Here is a 16,290-nt window from a genome sequence, read left to right as displayed (position 1 = left end):
TATTTCCTTTGGCCATATACCCAGAAGTGGGATAGCTGGATCATATGGTAATTCTGTTTGCAGATTTCTGAGGAACCTCCATATTGTTTTCCATAATCACTGTATTAATTTACATTCTCACCAACTGCAGTAGAGTTCCTTTTTCTCTACATCTTCTCCAACACTTGTTATCTTTCATCTTTTTGATGATAGCTATTCTAACAGGTGTGAGGAGATAGCCCATTGTGGTTTTAATTTGCATTTTCCTGGTAATTAGTTGTGAAGAGCATTTTTTCTTATATCTGTTGGCCATTTGTATGTCTTTTGAGCAATGTCTATTCGGGTCCTTTGCCCATTTTTAAATTGAGTTCTTTGTTTTCTTGCTATTGATTTGAATTCCTTATATATTTTGAATATTAACTCCATATAAGATGCATGGTTTGCAAAGATTTTCACTCATTCTGGGATATCTCTTCACTCTGTTGTTTCCTTTGCCATACAGAAGCCTTTTGGTTTGATACAATCCTATTTGTTTATTTTTGCTTTTGTTGCCTGTGCTTTTGGGGTCAAGTCCAAGAAATCTTTGCCAGGCCTGTGTCATGGAGCTTCTTTTCCCAATGTTTTCTTCTAGTAGTTTTACAGTTTCAGACTGTACATTTAAGTCTTTAATACAGTTTGAGTTGATTTTTGTATATGCTGTGAGATAAGGGTCTAATTTCATTCTTCTACATGTGGATATTCAGTTTTCCTAATACCGTTTATTGAAAGATTGTCCTTTCTCCATTGTGTGTTCTTGGTGCCTTTGTTGAAAATCAGATGATGGTAAATGCATGAGTTTATTTCTGGACTCTCTATCCTGTTCCATTGGTTTTTGTGTTAGCTTTTATGCCAGTACCATGCCATTTGATTAGGTTTGTAGTATATTTTGAAGTCAGATAGTGTGGTACTCCACCTTTGTTCTTTTTGCTCAAAATTGCTTTCGCTCTTTGGGGTCTTTTGTTGTGCTGTACAAATTTTAGGATTTTTTTTTCTATTTCCTTGAAAAATGACATTAGAATTTTGATAGGAATTACATTTGATAGGAATTACATTTGATAGAAATTACATTGAATCCTGGCCTGGGATTAATTTCTTAATATCTTTTTCAGATAGTTTGTCATTAGTATAAAGAAATGCTGGCTGGGTGTGGTAACTCATGCCTGTAATCCCAGCACTTTGGGAGGCTGAGGTGGGTGGATCACCTGAGGTCAGGAGATTGAGACCATCCTGGCTAACATGGTGAAACCCTGTCTCTACTAAAAAAAACAAAACAAAACAAAAAAAATATATATATATACACACACGTATATATATATATATACACACACGTATATATATATACACACACACGTATATATATGTACACACACGTATATATATACACACACGTATATATATATACACACACGTATATATATACACACACGTATATATGTACACACACGTATATATATACACACACACGTATATAGATATACACACACATATATATACACACACATATAGATATACACACACATATATATACACACACGTATATATATACACGTATATATACACACACACGTATATATATACACGTATATATACACACACACGTATATATGTGTATATATACACACACACGTATATATGTGTGTATATATACACACGTATATATATGTATATATATACGTATATATATATACACACATATATATATACACGTATATATATATATACACACACATATATATATATACACGTATATATATATATATATTAGCCTGGTGTGGTGGCGGGTGCCTGTACTCCCAGCTACTCAGGAGGCTGAGGCAGGAGAATGGCATGAGCCCAGGAGGCAGAGTTTGCAGTGAGCCGAGATCGTGCTACTGCACTCCAGCCTGGGCAACAGAGTAAGACTCCGTCTCAAAAAAAAAAAAAAACAAAGAAAAACATGGCATCTACAGTCAGGGACAACATAACGTCTTTGTTTCCAGCTTGGATGCTGTTTCTTTCTTTCTCTTGCCTAATTGCTCTGTCTAGTATGTCCGGTATTACATGGAATAGAAGTGGCAAGAGTATGCATCCTTGGCTTGTTCTGAATCTAACAGGCAAAGGTTTCCATTTTTCCCCATTGAGTATAATGTTAGCTGTGGGCTTTTCATATATGACTCATGTTAAGGTACATTCCTTCAATGCCTAACTTGTCAAGAGTTTTTCTCATGAAAAGATGTTGAATTTTATCAATGCCTTTGCATATATTGAGGTGAACATTTGGTTTTGTCCTTCATTCTGCTAACATGGTATATCACATTTGTAGTTTGCATATGTTGAATCATCCTTTGATCCTAGGGATAAACCCCACTTAATTTTGGTATATGATCCCTTTAATGTGCTGTTGAATTCACTTTGCTAGTATTTTGTTAGAATGTTTGCATCTATGTTCATTAGGGATATTGGCCTGTATTTTTTTTTCTTCTAGTAGTATTCTTGTCTGGCTTTGGTGTCAGTGTAATGCTGGTATCATAAAATGAGTTTGGAAGTGTTTCCTCTTCTTCAATTTTATGGAAGAATTTGAGAAGGATTGGTATTAGTTCTTCTTTAAATTAGAATTCTGCCATGAAGCCATCTGGTTCTGGGCTTTTCTTGATGGAAAATTATTATTATTATTATTATTATTTGAAACGGAGTCTTGCTGTGTCGCCCAGGCTGGAGTACAGTGGTGCAATCTCAGCTCACTGCAACCTCCACCTCCTGGGTTCCAGTGATTCTCCTGCCTCAGCCTCCCAAGTGGCTGGGATTACAGGCGTGTGCCACAACACCCGGCTAATTTTTTGTATTTTTAGTAGAGACGGGGTTTCACCGTGTTGGCCAGGCTGGCCTGAAATTCTTGACCTCAGGTGATCCACCTGCCTCGGCCTCCCAAAGTGCTAGGATTACAGGTGTGAGCCACTGCACCTGGCCAATTTTTAAAATTATTTATTCAGTTTCCTTATTTGTTATCAGTCTGTTCAGATTTTCTACTTTTTCTTGATTCAGTCTGGGTAGGCTGTATGTTTCTAGGAATTTATTCATTTTTTTCAAGGTTATCAAATTTGTAGATATATAATTGTTTATAAGTAGTTTCTTATGATCCGTTTTATTCTGTGATATTGAACCCTTGTTTATAGATGAGGAACTTGACAATTCCTAAGCTGCTGAGGAGTCTATTAATTGGCTCACTCAAATGATTTGAAAATAAGACATTGTGTCTGTAAAGAGTGTATTTCTGACAGATGGTATGGTTGAAGGCCTGTGGTTTTTGAAAAAAGTTGAGATAGAATTCATATAGAATGCAATACACTCTTTCAACATGTACAATTCAGTGGTTTTTAATATAGTTATGAGGTGTTACAACTATCACTGCCTAATTCCAGAATACTTCATCATCTCAAGAAGAAACTCTATGCCCATTAGCAATCATTCCCCATTCCTGCCTCCCCCTAGCCTCTGGCAACCACTAATCTACTTTGTGTCTCTTTGGATTTGCCTATTCTGGACATTTCATATGAATAGATTCATACAATATGTGGCCCTTTGTGATTGGATTCTTTCACTTAATATAGTATTTTCAAGGTTCACGCATGTTGTAGCATGAACCAATACTTATTTATGTCTGAATATTATTCCATTTTATAGATATACCAAATTTTGTTTACTTATTCATCAGCTGATATACATTTGGATTGTTTCTGCTTTTTGGCTATTATGAATAATGCTGCTATGAATGTTTTTGTACAAGTTTTTACATGGACATATGTTTTTATTTCTCTTGGGTATATACCTAGGAGAACTGCAGGGTCATATAACTCTTCGTTTAGCTTTTTGAGAAACTGCCAGACTGTTTTCCAAAGCAGCTGAACTATTTTACATTCCTACCAGCAATATGTGAGGGTTCCAATTTCTTCACATCCTCATCAGCACTTGTTGTTGTGTCTTTTTTGTTATAGCCATGCTAGTGATCATGAAGTGGAACCTCATTATAGTTTTGATTTGCATTTCCCTAATGACTCATGATGTTGAGCATGGACCTGCATTTTTTAACTGAAAATTTTCAGTGTCATCCTCAGATCCTGTGCTCAGTGTTGGGAATAGAGCTGTGAATAAGGCAGCCCCAATTGCTGTCTTCTTGGAGTTTAGAGTTCATGTGGGAAGGTAGATAGGAACAAAGTAGTTGCAATTAGGGTTTTTATAAGGAATTATACAAACAGCCCCTTAGTAAACTTTAAAACTTTCTATTTTAGTGAGGTAAGCCTTTTTCATGATTGTTGGAGGCCAAAATTCATGCAGTGGTTATTTAAAGATATTATAGATTGCATTTTTACATGTGCTTTTAAAAATAATTCAAAAGAAACAAAAGCATATGCGAATAAAAAATGTATAAAGAAAAAAGTGGGGCTGGGCACAATGGCTCATAATCCCAGCAGTTTGGAAGGCCGAGGTGGGAGGATCACTTGAGCGCAGGAGTTGCAGACCAACCTTGGCAACATAGTGAGACCTCATCACTTAAAAAAAAAATCAGCTTGGCCGGGCGCAGTGGCTCACACCTGTAATCCTAGCACTTTGGGAGGCCGAGGCGGGTGGATCACCTGAGGTCAGGAGTTCAAGACCAGCCTGGCCAACTTGGTGAAAACCTGTCTCTGCTAAAAATACAAAAATTAGCCGGGCATGGTGGTGGGCGCCTGTAATCCCAGCTACTCAGGAGGCTGAGGCAGGAGAATCACTTGGACCCGGGAGGTGGAGGTTGCAGTGAGCCGTGATTGTGCCACTGTACTCCAGCCTGGGGCGACAGAGCAAGACTCCGTCTCAAAAAAAAAAAAAAAAATTAGTTGGGCATGGTGGCACATGTCTGTACTCCAGCTGTTTGAGAGACTGAGTTGGGGGAATCGCTTGAGTCTGGGAAGTCAATGCTGTAGTGAGCCCTGATCATGCCACTGCACCCCAGCCTGGGCAAAAGAGTGAGAACCTGTCTCAAAAAAAAAAGAAAAGTGGGATATTCTCGCTACCTCTGCATTCTAGCCGTTAGCGGCTTGGTGACTGTTATTCCAGACCTGTTTCCAGTGCAGGTACAGATTTGTATCAAGTAGTGGTTTGATTAAGGAGATTACCTTCTTAAAGAATTTTCACTTCTTTTTGAGACTCGTGATTCACCTTCTTTGGGGTATAGAGAGATTTTTCCGAATTTTACAGTTATTACTGTGGTGAAGATTTACAAACTTGCGTGCTTCCTGGGTGCTAGGAACTTTACCCCTACACAGGTACACCTTGGCTGTGATGCATGACTTCCTGTGTTTCACCTTTCATTGTAGATGGTCCCCATCCCTGCTGGAGTATTTACAATGGGCACAGATGATCCTCAGATAAAGCAGGATGGGGAAGCACCTGCGAGGAGAGTTACTATTGATGCCTTTTACATGGATGCCTATGAAGTCAGTAATACTGAATTTGAGAAGTTTGTGAACTCAACTGGCTATTTGACAGAGGTAATGGGATTGGGGAAAGGAGGGAGAACTTGTTCTTTTCCAGAACTTTTAAGAATGCTTTAATAGCAGCTAAGATTGACTGACCATTTTTACTGCATTCTGTGGCAGAACTGTGTGAAGCATTTTATTGTATATATTTCATCTTAATTTCTCACAGCAACCCCATGAGGCAGGTTATTTTTCAGGTGGCATACTGAGGATAAGAAAAGTTATTTGCCCCACATCACACAGCTAGTTGGTGGTAGAGCTGGGATTCCAGCCTGGCCAGTTTGACCTCAGAACATGTGCTATAACTATTATGCTATATTGTGTTAATGCTTAATGTGTCAGAGAATACCACTGTCCACTAAGGCTTTTTGAGATAACAGATGGCATGTAAAGTAAGACCACTTTTCTTCTCAGTAAGTTGCAGTTTGTTTTTTTCCAGAAGCATTTCATATTTTTTAAGTGATAAATGCAGAAGTGCAGCTTTTCATTTTCGTGTCTTTATTCCAACACCTTGACAACTCACACATGCTGTGCTATAGCAGTTCCAGACATCATCTGGTGGTCACTGAATCACAAAGCAAGGTTCTGATAGTGGATGCTTTCCTAAATGGGAATAGGAAGAGGAAAGCTTTCTAGTCTATGAATGTTTATGTCAGTTTCTGAAATATACTTATTTTATATGCTTTCCAGTTTTCTCTCACGAAAAACCTTTACTCTTGTCTTCAGTTCGTGGGGTCCCTATTCTTTTTTTTTTTTAAGACCCCAAATGTCTTTTTGTAAATTATTATTAAATGAATAATTTGAGAGTGAATGTTTAAAGTAAAACAACTTTCAGATTTGGTTTTGCATTGTCACATTTCTTTGGAATTTTCTCAAATATATAAAGTGGTTAGAAACCTTTTTTGGGCCAGGCGCGGTGGCTCACGCCTGTAATCTCAGCACGTTGGGAGGCTGAGGTGGGTGGATCACGAGGTCAGGCGATCGAGACCATCCTGGCTAACACGGTGAAACCCCGTCTCTACTAAAAGTACAAAAAATTAGCCGGGCATGGTGGCGGGCACCCGTAGTCCCAGCTACTTGGGAGGCTGAGGCAGGAGAATAGCATGAACCCGGGAGGCGGAGCTTGCAGTGAGCCGAGATCCGGCCACTGCCCTCCAGGAAGAAGAGCAAGACTCTGTCTCAAAAACAAAAACAAAAAAACCGTTTTTGTACACATTCGTAATAAGCAGAAGTCCTTTTCCTTTTGGTTTCACAGAGATACTCTCAGCTCAGGTTCCTCAATAGTTTACTTAAGTTAGAAGACTTCTACAGAACCAGGGTTCTCCATGAAGATTAGATAGAATAAGCAGAATTTGGGGCATCTAAAAACATGGATAGGGAAAAGTTATAAGTTGGTACAAAAGTAATTACGGTTTTTGTCATTACTTTTAATGGCAAAGACCGCGATTACTTTTGCAGCAACCTAATATATCTGGTTATTTACTACCCTCGAGCCACAATGTAGTATTTTCTTCAATTATGATGCAAACAGCAAACCACAGCAGTAGTAGCAGTACCTCTAACTTTGTTACCAGTAGAAATCACAGACATTTTTAATCATATTTTTGTTGTTGCAGAGATCTTGAAATATTGTTTGCATTCATCCCCACTTTGAAATATGATAATTATGAGACCTGCCACTAGATCTTATTTAATATATTAATGAAGAGCATATTTAATACTATAGCACTGGTTTGTTTATTAATATTTTGATATAATGACTTTTCTTCATAATACTATTTATTTTATTTTATTTTTTTATTGATTTTATTTTATGCATTTAAACATTTTATTCTGAGAAGGGGGTTCTTAAGCTTCACCATACTGCCAAGGAGCTCAAAAAGGACCAAGAACTGCCTTGGACAAAATGCTCTGTTTTTTTAATGGCACTCTTTTCCCATCTCTCCAGCTTTACTTTATATCATGCTCCTCTTGTATACTATGTTCTAGCCCTGCTGGTTTTGTTTCTATTCCTTGAAAACTCAACATTCTTTCCCACCTCAAGAACTTGGCCCGTATTTTCTCTCTGCTTGGAATTCGCAGTCCTCTTGCTTATCCCCCTTCTGCATGGTTGGCTCCTTCTCATTCTTGAGTCATCTCAGCTTAAATGTCACTTTCTCAAGAAAGTTTTTCATGACACTCTACCTTACAAGGTGTAGTAAAGTTATAATTATTGTCTTCCATTCGTTGTTTGGCTTGATTTTTTTCTGTGCTCCCACACTTAAGCACAATAAGGATAGGGGCCATGGCTATCTGATATTGACCTTATATCCCCTAATTTAGCCCCAAACTGAGCACATGGTAGGTGTTTGATACATGTTTGTTGAATAACTAAATGGCTTAGGTAGTTAGTCATGGCAGTGTCACAAGGGAATGCAGGAAGAAGATTAGGGGTGAAGAAAAGATGGCAGCCTCCACTCCGGAAAAGGAGTTGGAGATGCTTGTAAGATCTGCAATATAAGGATCCAGTACTCAGTTAATTTCATCTAGTAAGAACAGGACAGCACTAGAGGTAGAGATTTGAGAGTCATTTGGAGTACTGGCTATAGTTAATTTGATGAGATTGAAAGTTGTCCATCAACAAGAATCGATCAGTGTATCTCAAAGTGCATCTCTTGAACTACTTGTATTAGAACAACTAGCTGTGTGCTATTTACACACACAGACTCCTTGACCTCACCCTAGACCCCCAGAATGAGAATCTCTGGTGTTGGGGAGCAGCAATATGTAGTTTTAACCAGCTGATTACATAATCTCAACTGCACAAAGCCTGAGAGCCACTGGTGTAGTAGAATTGCAGAGAGCCAAGGGCAGAGCTCTGGGGAGCAGCAGTGTTTCAGTGGCTGAAACAAGAGCCCACATATTTTAGGAGATGAATAAGAACACTGACAAATGTAGGAGGAGAGTCATGGTTACCAAGGGACAAACGACCTAATTTTCAGAATAGGGTTACATGCAACAAAAATAATCAGGTGGATGAAGAATTGAGACACTAATGTTAAATAAAATCATTAAAATACAGATTTCCATTTGATGCTTGAATTGGCCAGTTGAGATTTATAAGCACATTTGACCCCTTAGTGGAACTAGAATGTGTCAGAATGTGAGCAAACAGTGCTATTTAATTCGTTTAGCTAGATTCAGGACAAAGGACAAAGATTGATTATGTAATCTCACACGTACAGAATACTATTTCCCAGAGTCATTTGTGATACTTGGGGAAATGTATTTCCTTCAAGAACAGTCACGTTCTCAAAAGCTAATCTTGTTCAGTCTGCATTCTTATCAGCTAAGTGAGTCTTAAACGAAAATGGTCTCTGTAAGTGACATTAATTTAAGAGGAAGCCAGAGACTTTTAGGTCATTTCTGAGTCCTCTGGGAAGTCATAAGAAAGACTCAAGTTCAATTGGACAAGAGGAATCACTTTAATAGTGTGGAGAGAAAAGGGCACACATGCAACACATTACTACAACCTTTTCTGGATTTTTATTTCCTACCTTCCTTATAGGCTGAGAAGTTTGGCGACTCCTTTGTCTTTGAAGGCATGTTGAGTGAGCAAGTGAAGACCAATATTCAACAGGCAGTAAGTAATGTTTCAACAGGCTCCTGTATTTCTCTAAGGCTCATTGAAAAGGGTTTGGGTGAAAAATCCAAACCACATGTGTCACCTTCCTCTCCCTGTAACACCTAACCATTCTCCTGCTGAGGATTGACCCCAAATAATAGGCCCATGGACCAGGACACCTTATCTTAAGGAAAATGGGACAAGATGGTATCTGAGGAAGTGATGGGTCTGCCTTGAGTTTCTGTCTTGTGTGCCAAGGAACACACAGTGTTGCTAGGTAGAGCTCAGTAGGCTCCAGACACTTCCGAGTTTCATTTACTTATAGCCATTTCTAGAATGGAGGGCTCAATGAGAACATTTTAAAATTCTATTCTAAAAGTCTCCATCTCCTCAGGTGCTGGTGTGGAGATAGAGCTTCCTTAAACATTTTTGAATTCATGGGATCAGAGTAGCACTCAAGAAAGGAGCCCTTTGTTCTGAATGTTCATGAAAAATGGAGGTGGTGAACTGGTTCTTTACATGCAGGGGTGTACCCTCCCATATGGAGGATCCAGGGAATGCAGATGAGGTGTGTTTTTCTCAGACATGGAAACAAACGGTGGAGTAGATTTTCACAAGCAGCTTTGTGATGAGTGGAACTTGGGATTCTTGTTCCAGACATTTTAGCAGGTTTGTGTATGTTGGAGTATTTGCTTGCTTACATGTCTCTTGAAAATATAAGAACAAGGGAAGGAGTGAGGGTAAGCTGGGAAGTTGAGGGTTCACAAAACAAAGAGGGTAGAGAATGCAGAAGGGATAGGAGATGGTGAGAGAGGGAAGGAAACGGGGGTCTGCCCACTCCAGGGAGGCTGATGAAGCTAGAGGCATTGAAGACGAAGGAATCCAGCCCTCATCTTCCTTTTTAATGCAAGTTACCTTTTAGCTCCTGTCTGCGCTTCATCTCTGTGGGTGGGCCTCACTCTGTCCTCTCGTGAGCAGCAGTGCAGTGCAAGAAAAACGAAACTGTCCTGGCTTATGTTTGCTTTCTCTTTAATATAGAAAAATGTGGGGGAAACGGTGAGGTAAAACAAGACTTGCTTTCAGATCATATATAGGTGAATTGAGCCACTTTTTAATATGTGTTTTAGATAAATGTTTGAAAAATGTGATTGAGCTCCATTCGAATTTCACAGCTTTCTTTGCTCCTTACAAGTTTATAAGTCTAATATGTAATCTGATATTCCCCTCCGCCCTACTTTTTTTTTTAAAGGGCTTTGAGGTCAGTTGAGGCTGGTGTTGATTAGCCAGCAGCTTGGGACATGTGCCTTATTTTAAGATACTGAGTTCAGGTGAGGGTGGGCGTTTGCGCTTATTTTTGTAATTTGCCTTTTCAGATACAGGGCCTCTTGTCACTTGAGAACCTCCAAACACATTAGGTATGAAGACAGAGGTGGGTCATTGCTAGGCTGTGAAGGTGCCTGTTGAGTACATAGTAAAGTGTGTGTGCTTGTGACTAGGATGAGGACAGGCAGCTCTCACTGGGTTGTAGTGTTGGTCACTTGCTTAACTGCTGATAATGGAAAAGCAAACCTTTTAAGCTTATTTAGAAAGGGCTGAACAAGTAACATAAATGTGTCAATGATCAGGGAGAGCTAAGTTTTTGTTTTTTCATCCTCCTCATAAGGTCTGACTTACCTTCATTCACTGCACCAGACCTTTTTTTTTTTGTAACCCAGTGTCTCCAGAAGAGTAAGATGTGAGTTGGCCTACGAGGTAAATTTGAGCAGTAGGGGAGATGATTTTGGGTGGTAGATTGGCAAGCCTCCAATCTCACTGAATCACATAGTGAGAAAGCACTTTCCTTTTAGGTGTCTTTCAAGACTTGATTAAGTTAGAAAGAAAGACCTGAATCTTGCAAGTTTGAGTGCTAGCATATCCTTAGTACTTGACTACACTTTTACTCTCCTTTTAACATAGAAGAGGCCTTGGAAGTGTCCTCAGGCTACCACAGCTAGTTAATAATATGGTTTATTTTCATGTAATTATTTTAAGTGTTGCATTCTATTTATGACAGGTTATAAAAGCGAGATAAATTCTCCTTTTTTTTTAAAAAAATCTTTTTTTGGTAAAATAAGACAAATACAGAAAATCACACAACACAAATGTACAGCTTACTGAGTTATCCTAAGGTGAACGTACCTGTAAGCATTACCCAGGTCCAGAATTAGAATTTTTCTGCCTACCCCAGCAGCCCCATCCAGGTGCCACATCCTAATCATCACCCCTCTCTGTCCCTAAAGTAGCCAGTACCCTGCTTCTCAAAGTAGACACTTCTTTGCATTTCTTTATAATATTATTACCCAGGTGTACATGCAAAGTTTAATCTTGCTAATTTAAAGGAAATTTGTGTCTTTTAAGACTCTTCTACAGGTTTCCCTTTCATTGTGTTGCTTCCCCTTACCCCCTAGTTTTTCCTACAATGATTTATCTATTGAAGAATCTAGGACATTTAGCCTGGAGACTTTCCTGCAGTCTGGATTTTGCTGAATGCCCTGTCATGGTGCAGTTCATCTGTTCTCTCTGTCCTCTGTATTTCCTGCAAGTTGGTAGCTGGATCCCCAGGTGTGATCAGACTCAGGTTTGAACCCTACAGTAAGACATCAGATAATTGGTGGGTTCTTTCCCCATGAGGCACCTGATGTCTGGTGCTTCTTCTTTTTATAATGTTAGCGGCTGTTGATGCTTAGTACCTAATCCATTAATCCATTGGGGGCTATCATAAGATGGTGTATTAGTCTCTTCTCGTGCTGCTAATAAAGACATGCCCAAGATTGGGTAATTTATAAAGAAAAAGAGGTTTAATGGACTCACAGTTCCACATGACTGGAGAGGCCTCATAATCATGGCTGAAGGTGAAGGAGGAACAAATGCACGTTTTACGTGGTGGCAGGGAAGAGAGTTTGTGCAGGGGAGCTGCCCTTTATAAAACCATCAGATCTCGTGAGACTTATTTACTATCATGGCAACAGCACAGGAAAACCTGCTCCCATGATTCAGTTACCTCCCACTGAGTCCCTCCCATGACAGGTGGGATTATTGGAGCTATAATTCAAGATGAGATTTGGATGGGGACTCAGCCAAACCATATTAGATGGTGATAATCTAATCTTTTTCATTTATTAATGGAGATACTTTCATAAAGAGATAGTTCCATCATCTACTATTTCTTAACCATTGTTGCAGGTCATACAGGACAGATAGGATAAATGCTTGATTCTTTACTAGCTTTTAAGATAATGAATTGGTTCCCTACTGTTCTTCAAAGGTGACCAATTAGAGTATTTTTTGATTAAATATTTCATCTTAAGATAATTATATGTTCTCATGCAGTGTAAGAAATAATACAGAGAGATCTGGTGTACCTTTCACCCAGTTTCCTCCAATGGTACCATCTTATATAACTATAGTACGGTTTCACAGCTGGAAAATTGAGCATTCATATGACCCACTTGTTTTTGTCTGATTTCACCAGTTTTATATTATTCATTTGTGTGTCTGTGTATATATTTAGTTCTGTACAATTTTGCCACAAATGTAGATTTGTGTAATCACTGGATTTAAAAAAGTCTTCATGAACTCATGGATTTAAATATATTTTATGGCCAGGCATGGTGGCTCATGCCCACAATCCCAGCACTTTGGGAAGCCGAAGCAGGATGTTCACCTGAGGCCAGGAGTTCAAGACCAGCCTGGGCAAGAGAGAGAGAGAGAGACCCCATCTCTACAAAAAATACAAAAAATTAGCCAGGTATGGTAGCATGTGTTCATAGTCCTAGCTACTTAGGAGACTGAGGTGGGAGGATCACTTGAGCCCAGGAGTTCGAGGTTTCAGTGAGCTGTGATGGCACCATTGTACTCCAGGCTGGGTGACAGAGTGAGACCCTGTCTCTGGGGAGAAAACAAAACAAAACAAAAACAAGCCATATTTTATTTTACACTGAAACCATGATCCCTTTTGAAGGTTTGGGCATATCTTTTTTTCCAACAGCTTTATTGAGATGTAATTTACATACCATAGGTTTTACCATACTAAGTGTATAATTCCATATTTTTTATATAGTCCAGTTTCACAACTAGAAAGCTGACCATTGATACAACTCACTTATTTTGGGGTTGTATCAAAAATTTATCTATATCATTACAATCTAATTTTAGAACATATCTATCAGCCCTAAAAGAAACCACATGCCCATTTGTGGTCATTACCGATTCCCATCCCCAGCTTTAAGCAACTGTCCTGAGTCCTAGCAGTGCTTCAGTCCTAGTAGTCCTTCATGGCTTCATGGCTTCATAGCTTTGCTTTTTGTGAGGCCAAGATCTGCTCCCTCCCCTACCCCTCATCCTTAAAGCCATTTCTTTAAGAAGCTCTAGTATCTTGTAGTAGAAAACAGTATTTCGAGGACCCTGTCTAGGCCCTGGGTATGCTCATTGCTATTAGGTTGGTCATTGTTTCTAGGCCTCTGCAGTGGACAGACTGAGATAAAATGCCAAAATGAGTATACACTGATACTTCCATTTTGTGATTTTTAGTTTAACCTGTTCTGTATTACATCTATCTCCTTTCTTCCACAGCAGGAATACTGGTTTTCAAGGACACAGGGGATGATAGACTAGTCTATAATCACGCATTTATTTTATCCCAGGTTACATACACAGTGGTCTCAATAATACTAATGCTACCATCCCCAGTGTAATTACTGAGAATAGGTTTTTAAAACTCCCAAACATTTATATATGCTTTTCCTGTTTCTCCCCTAGTTTTAAAATACTGTACTATTTCTGTATTATTGAAACATATGTCCATTATAGAGAGTACTCTTTCCATTTTAGCTCTCAACTAATCTCAGTTCTACAAGTGACTATACATGTTTAATACTCTCTGTGATCATGTCTCTCTAGTCATTTGAATTGATCAAGCTCATTCTCAACTAGATTCTTCAGGAAGTGGCCATGGGAACAATATGCCCTGAGTTTTTGCCCGTTGATAACAGTTTGTTAGTGCTCTTTATACTTTAAAGTCAACTTTTCTGGATATGAAATCTTTGGTTCACATTTATTTTTCTTGAGTAGCTCACATACTTTATTTTTTTTCTTTTGGAATAAAGCATTGCTATTGAAAAGCCTGATGGTAATCTGATTTTTTTCCCTTGAAAATTAGTTGTTTTTGCCTGAATACCCAACGATTTTCCTTTTTCTTGTTCTTTAGTATCCAGTGATTTCACTAGACTGTGTGTTGGTGTTTGTCATTGGGTCAGTATTCTCAGGTATGGGGTAGAAGCTTTCAATATCTAGTTTCACAATTTTTTTTTAAACTTCAGGAAATTTTTCTGTTATACTTTTTACTATTTTGTGTGTCCTTTTGTTTTATTCTTTAGGAACTTCTTATATCTTTCTTTACATAATTCTTTTTACCCATTTTCAGTGTTTATCACTTTCTTTTTAATCATTTTTTTCTCTCTCTTTTTTCTTTTTCTTTTTTTGAGAAGGGGTCTTGCTGTGTCACACTGGCTGGAGTGCAGTGGCACGATCTTGGCTCACTGCAGCCTTGACTTCCTGGGCTGAAGTGATGCTCCCACCTCAGCCACCCAAGTAGTGGGGACAACAGGCACATGCCACCACACCTGGCTAATTGTTTTGATTTTTAGTAGAGATGATGTCTCACTATTTTGCCCAGGCTGGTCTCAAACTCCTGGGCTCAAGCAATCCTTCCACCTCAGCCTCCCAAAGTGCTGATATTACGTGCATCAGCCACCATGCCTGGCCTCTTCTTTTTATTTTAATTTTTTCTTCTCTTTTGTCTTCTGTGTCTTTTAATTATCTGTTTATTTCTGAAATGACTTTTTATTTTATTTCTAGTTGCTACTTGACTTCTCTACCTCATCTGAGTTTGTGGATTCTGATTTATTTTGTTCTCTCTTGCATCATTTTCTTCATGCCATTTACCTCATTTTTTAAATTTTTATTTTTTGAGACAGAGTCTGGCTCTGTCACCAAGGCTAGAGTGCGGTGTGCAATCTTGGCTCACTGTACCCTCCACCTACTGGGCTCAAGCAATTCTCCTGCCCCATCCTCCTGAGTAGCTGGGATTACAGGGGCCCGCCACCACGCCCGGCTAATGTTTTGTATTTTTTAACAGAGACAGGGTTTTGTCATGTTGCTCAGACTGGTCTCGATCTCCTGAGTTCAGGTGATCCATCTGCCTTGGCCTCCCAAAGTGCTAGGATTACAGACATGAGCCACCATGCCCGGCCTACCTCATTTTAAAACACCATGTTGTGATTTTTTTTTTTTTTTGAGCATTTCTTCCTGACTGCATTTGTTATTCATAAGGATGTTGTTCTGCTGCTTCTTCTCTTACTTCTTATAGAAATTTGGATTGCATTTGAGCTTGAGTCTTTTCTGTTGCTCATTTGCATTTGAACTCAGTTTTTCTGAACTTTTAGAAAGAGACATGGTTCAGGGTAGCTTTGTAACTTCACTGAACTCCCTCTTAGTTGTTCTCAACATAGTGTTTAAACGATGGCCTCCTGTCTTCTGAGATGTCCTGGATTTCTTCCCCTCCTCCACTACTTCTCTTTCCTTTTTCTCTCTCTTTTTTTTTTTTTTCCTTTTTCTCTCTTGTCCCTCTATTTCAGGAGTTTGGTTTTGTCTCTTGAGATTTCTCCTTGGTGTGAGGCTCTATTCTGGAAGGGAACCCTGGCAGGTCAGTTTCAAGAGTTCATGGTGGGGAGGCCGAGGCGGGCGGATCACGAGGTCAGGAGATCGAGACCATCCCGGCTAAAACGGTGAAACCCCGTCTCTACTAAAAATACAAAAAAAAAATTAGCCGGGCGTGGTGTTGGGCGCCTGTAGTCCCAGCTACTCGGGAGGCTGAGGCAGGAGAATGGCGTGAACCCGGGAGGCGGAGCTTGCAGTGAGCCGAGATCGCGCCACCGCACTCCAGCCTGGGCGACAGAGCGAGACTCCGTCTCAAAAAAAAAAAAAAAAGAGTTCATGGTGCACAACTGTTTGAGTGCCTTCACACGTTCTTACCATGGGCCCCTTAAACCTACTCCTTATTGGAGTGGGCAAAATTCCTTCCAGTGTGAGCTACTGTTGTCAAACTGTCCCTCCATGCTTTCCAGTAATGCCTGTTGG

The 16,290-nt window shown here is 39.3% G+C and overlaps 1 protein-coding gene across 13 annotated transcripts in view; it reads left to right on the top strand.

Annotated features, from left to right (window-relative positions):
• SUMF1 (sulfatase modifying factor 1) overlaps positions 1 to 16,290 on the top strand; it is a 432,784-nt gene that overhangs the window by 8,872 nt on the left and 407,622 nt on the right. For 8 of the 13 annotated variants that reach the window (XR_007095664.1, XM_017006254.3, XM_017006252.3 and 5 more), the window contains exons 2-3: positions 5,349 to 5,522; positions 9,058 to 9,132. Coding sequence is in view for 12 of the 13 variants with exons in the window: in XM_017006254.3 (XP_016861743.1) it covers positions 5,349 to 5,522; positions 9,058 to 9,132 (249 nt within the window). In the remaining variant the exon portion in view is untranslated. Of the gene's footprint in view, positions 1 to 5,348; positions 5,523 to 9,057; positions 9,133 to 12,759; positions 14,547 to 16,290 lie in introns of those variants that run through there. The other 5 variants (XM_017006253.2, XM_047448024.1, XM_047448025.1 and 2 more) reach the window with 2 other exon arrangements.

Source organism: Homo sapiens, chromosome 3 (genome assembly GCF_000001405.40).
Source record: "Homo sapiens chromosome 3, GRCh38.p14 Primary Assembly".
Classification (NCBI taxonomy): Eukaryota; Metazoa; Chordata; class Mammalia; order Primates; family Hominidae; genus Homo; species Homo sapiens.
This window is presented reverse-complemented; position numbering and strand designations above follow the sequence as displayed.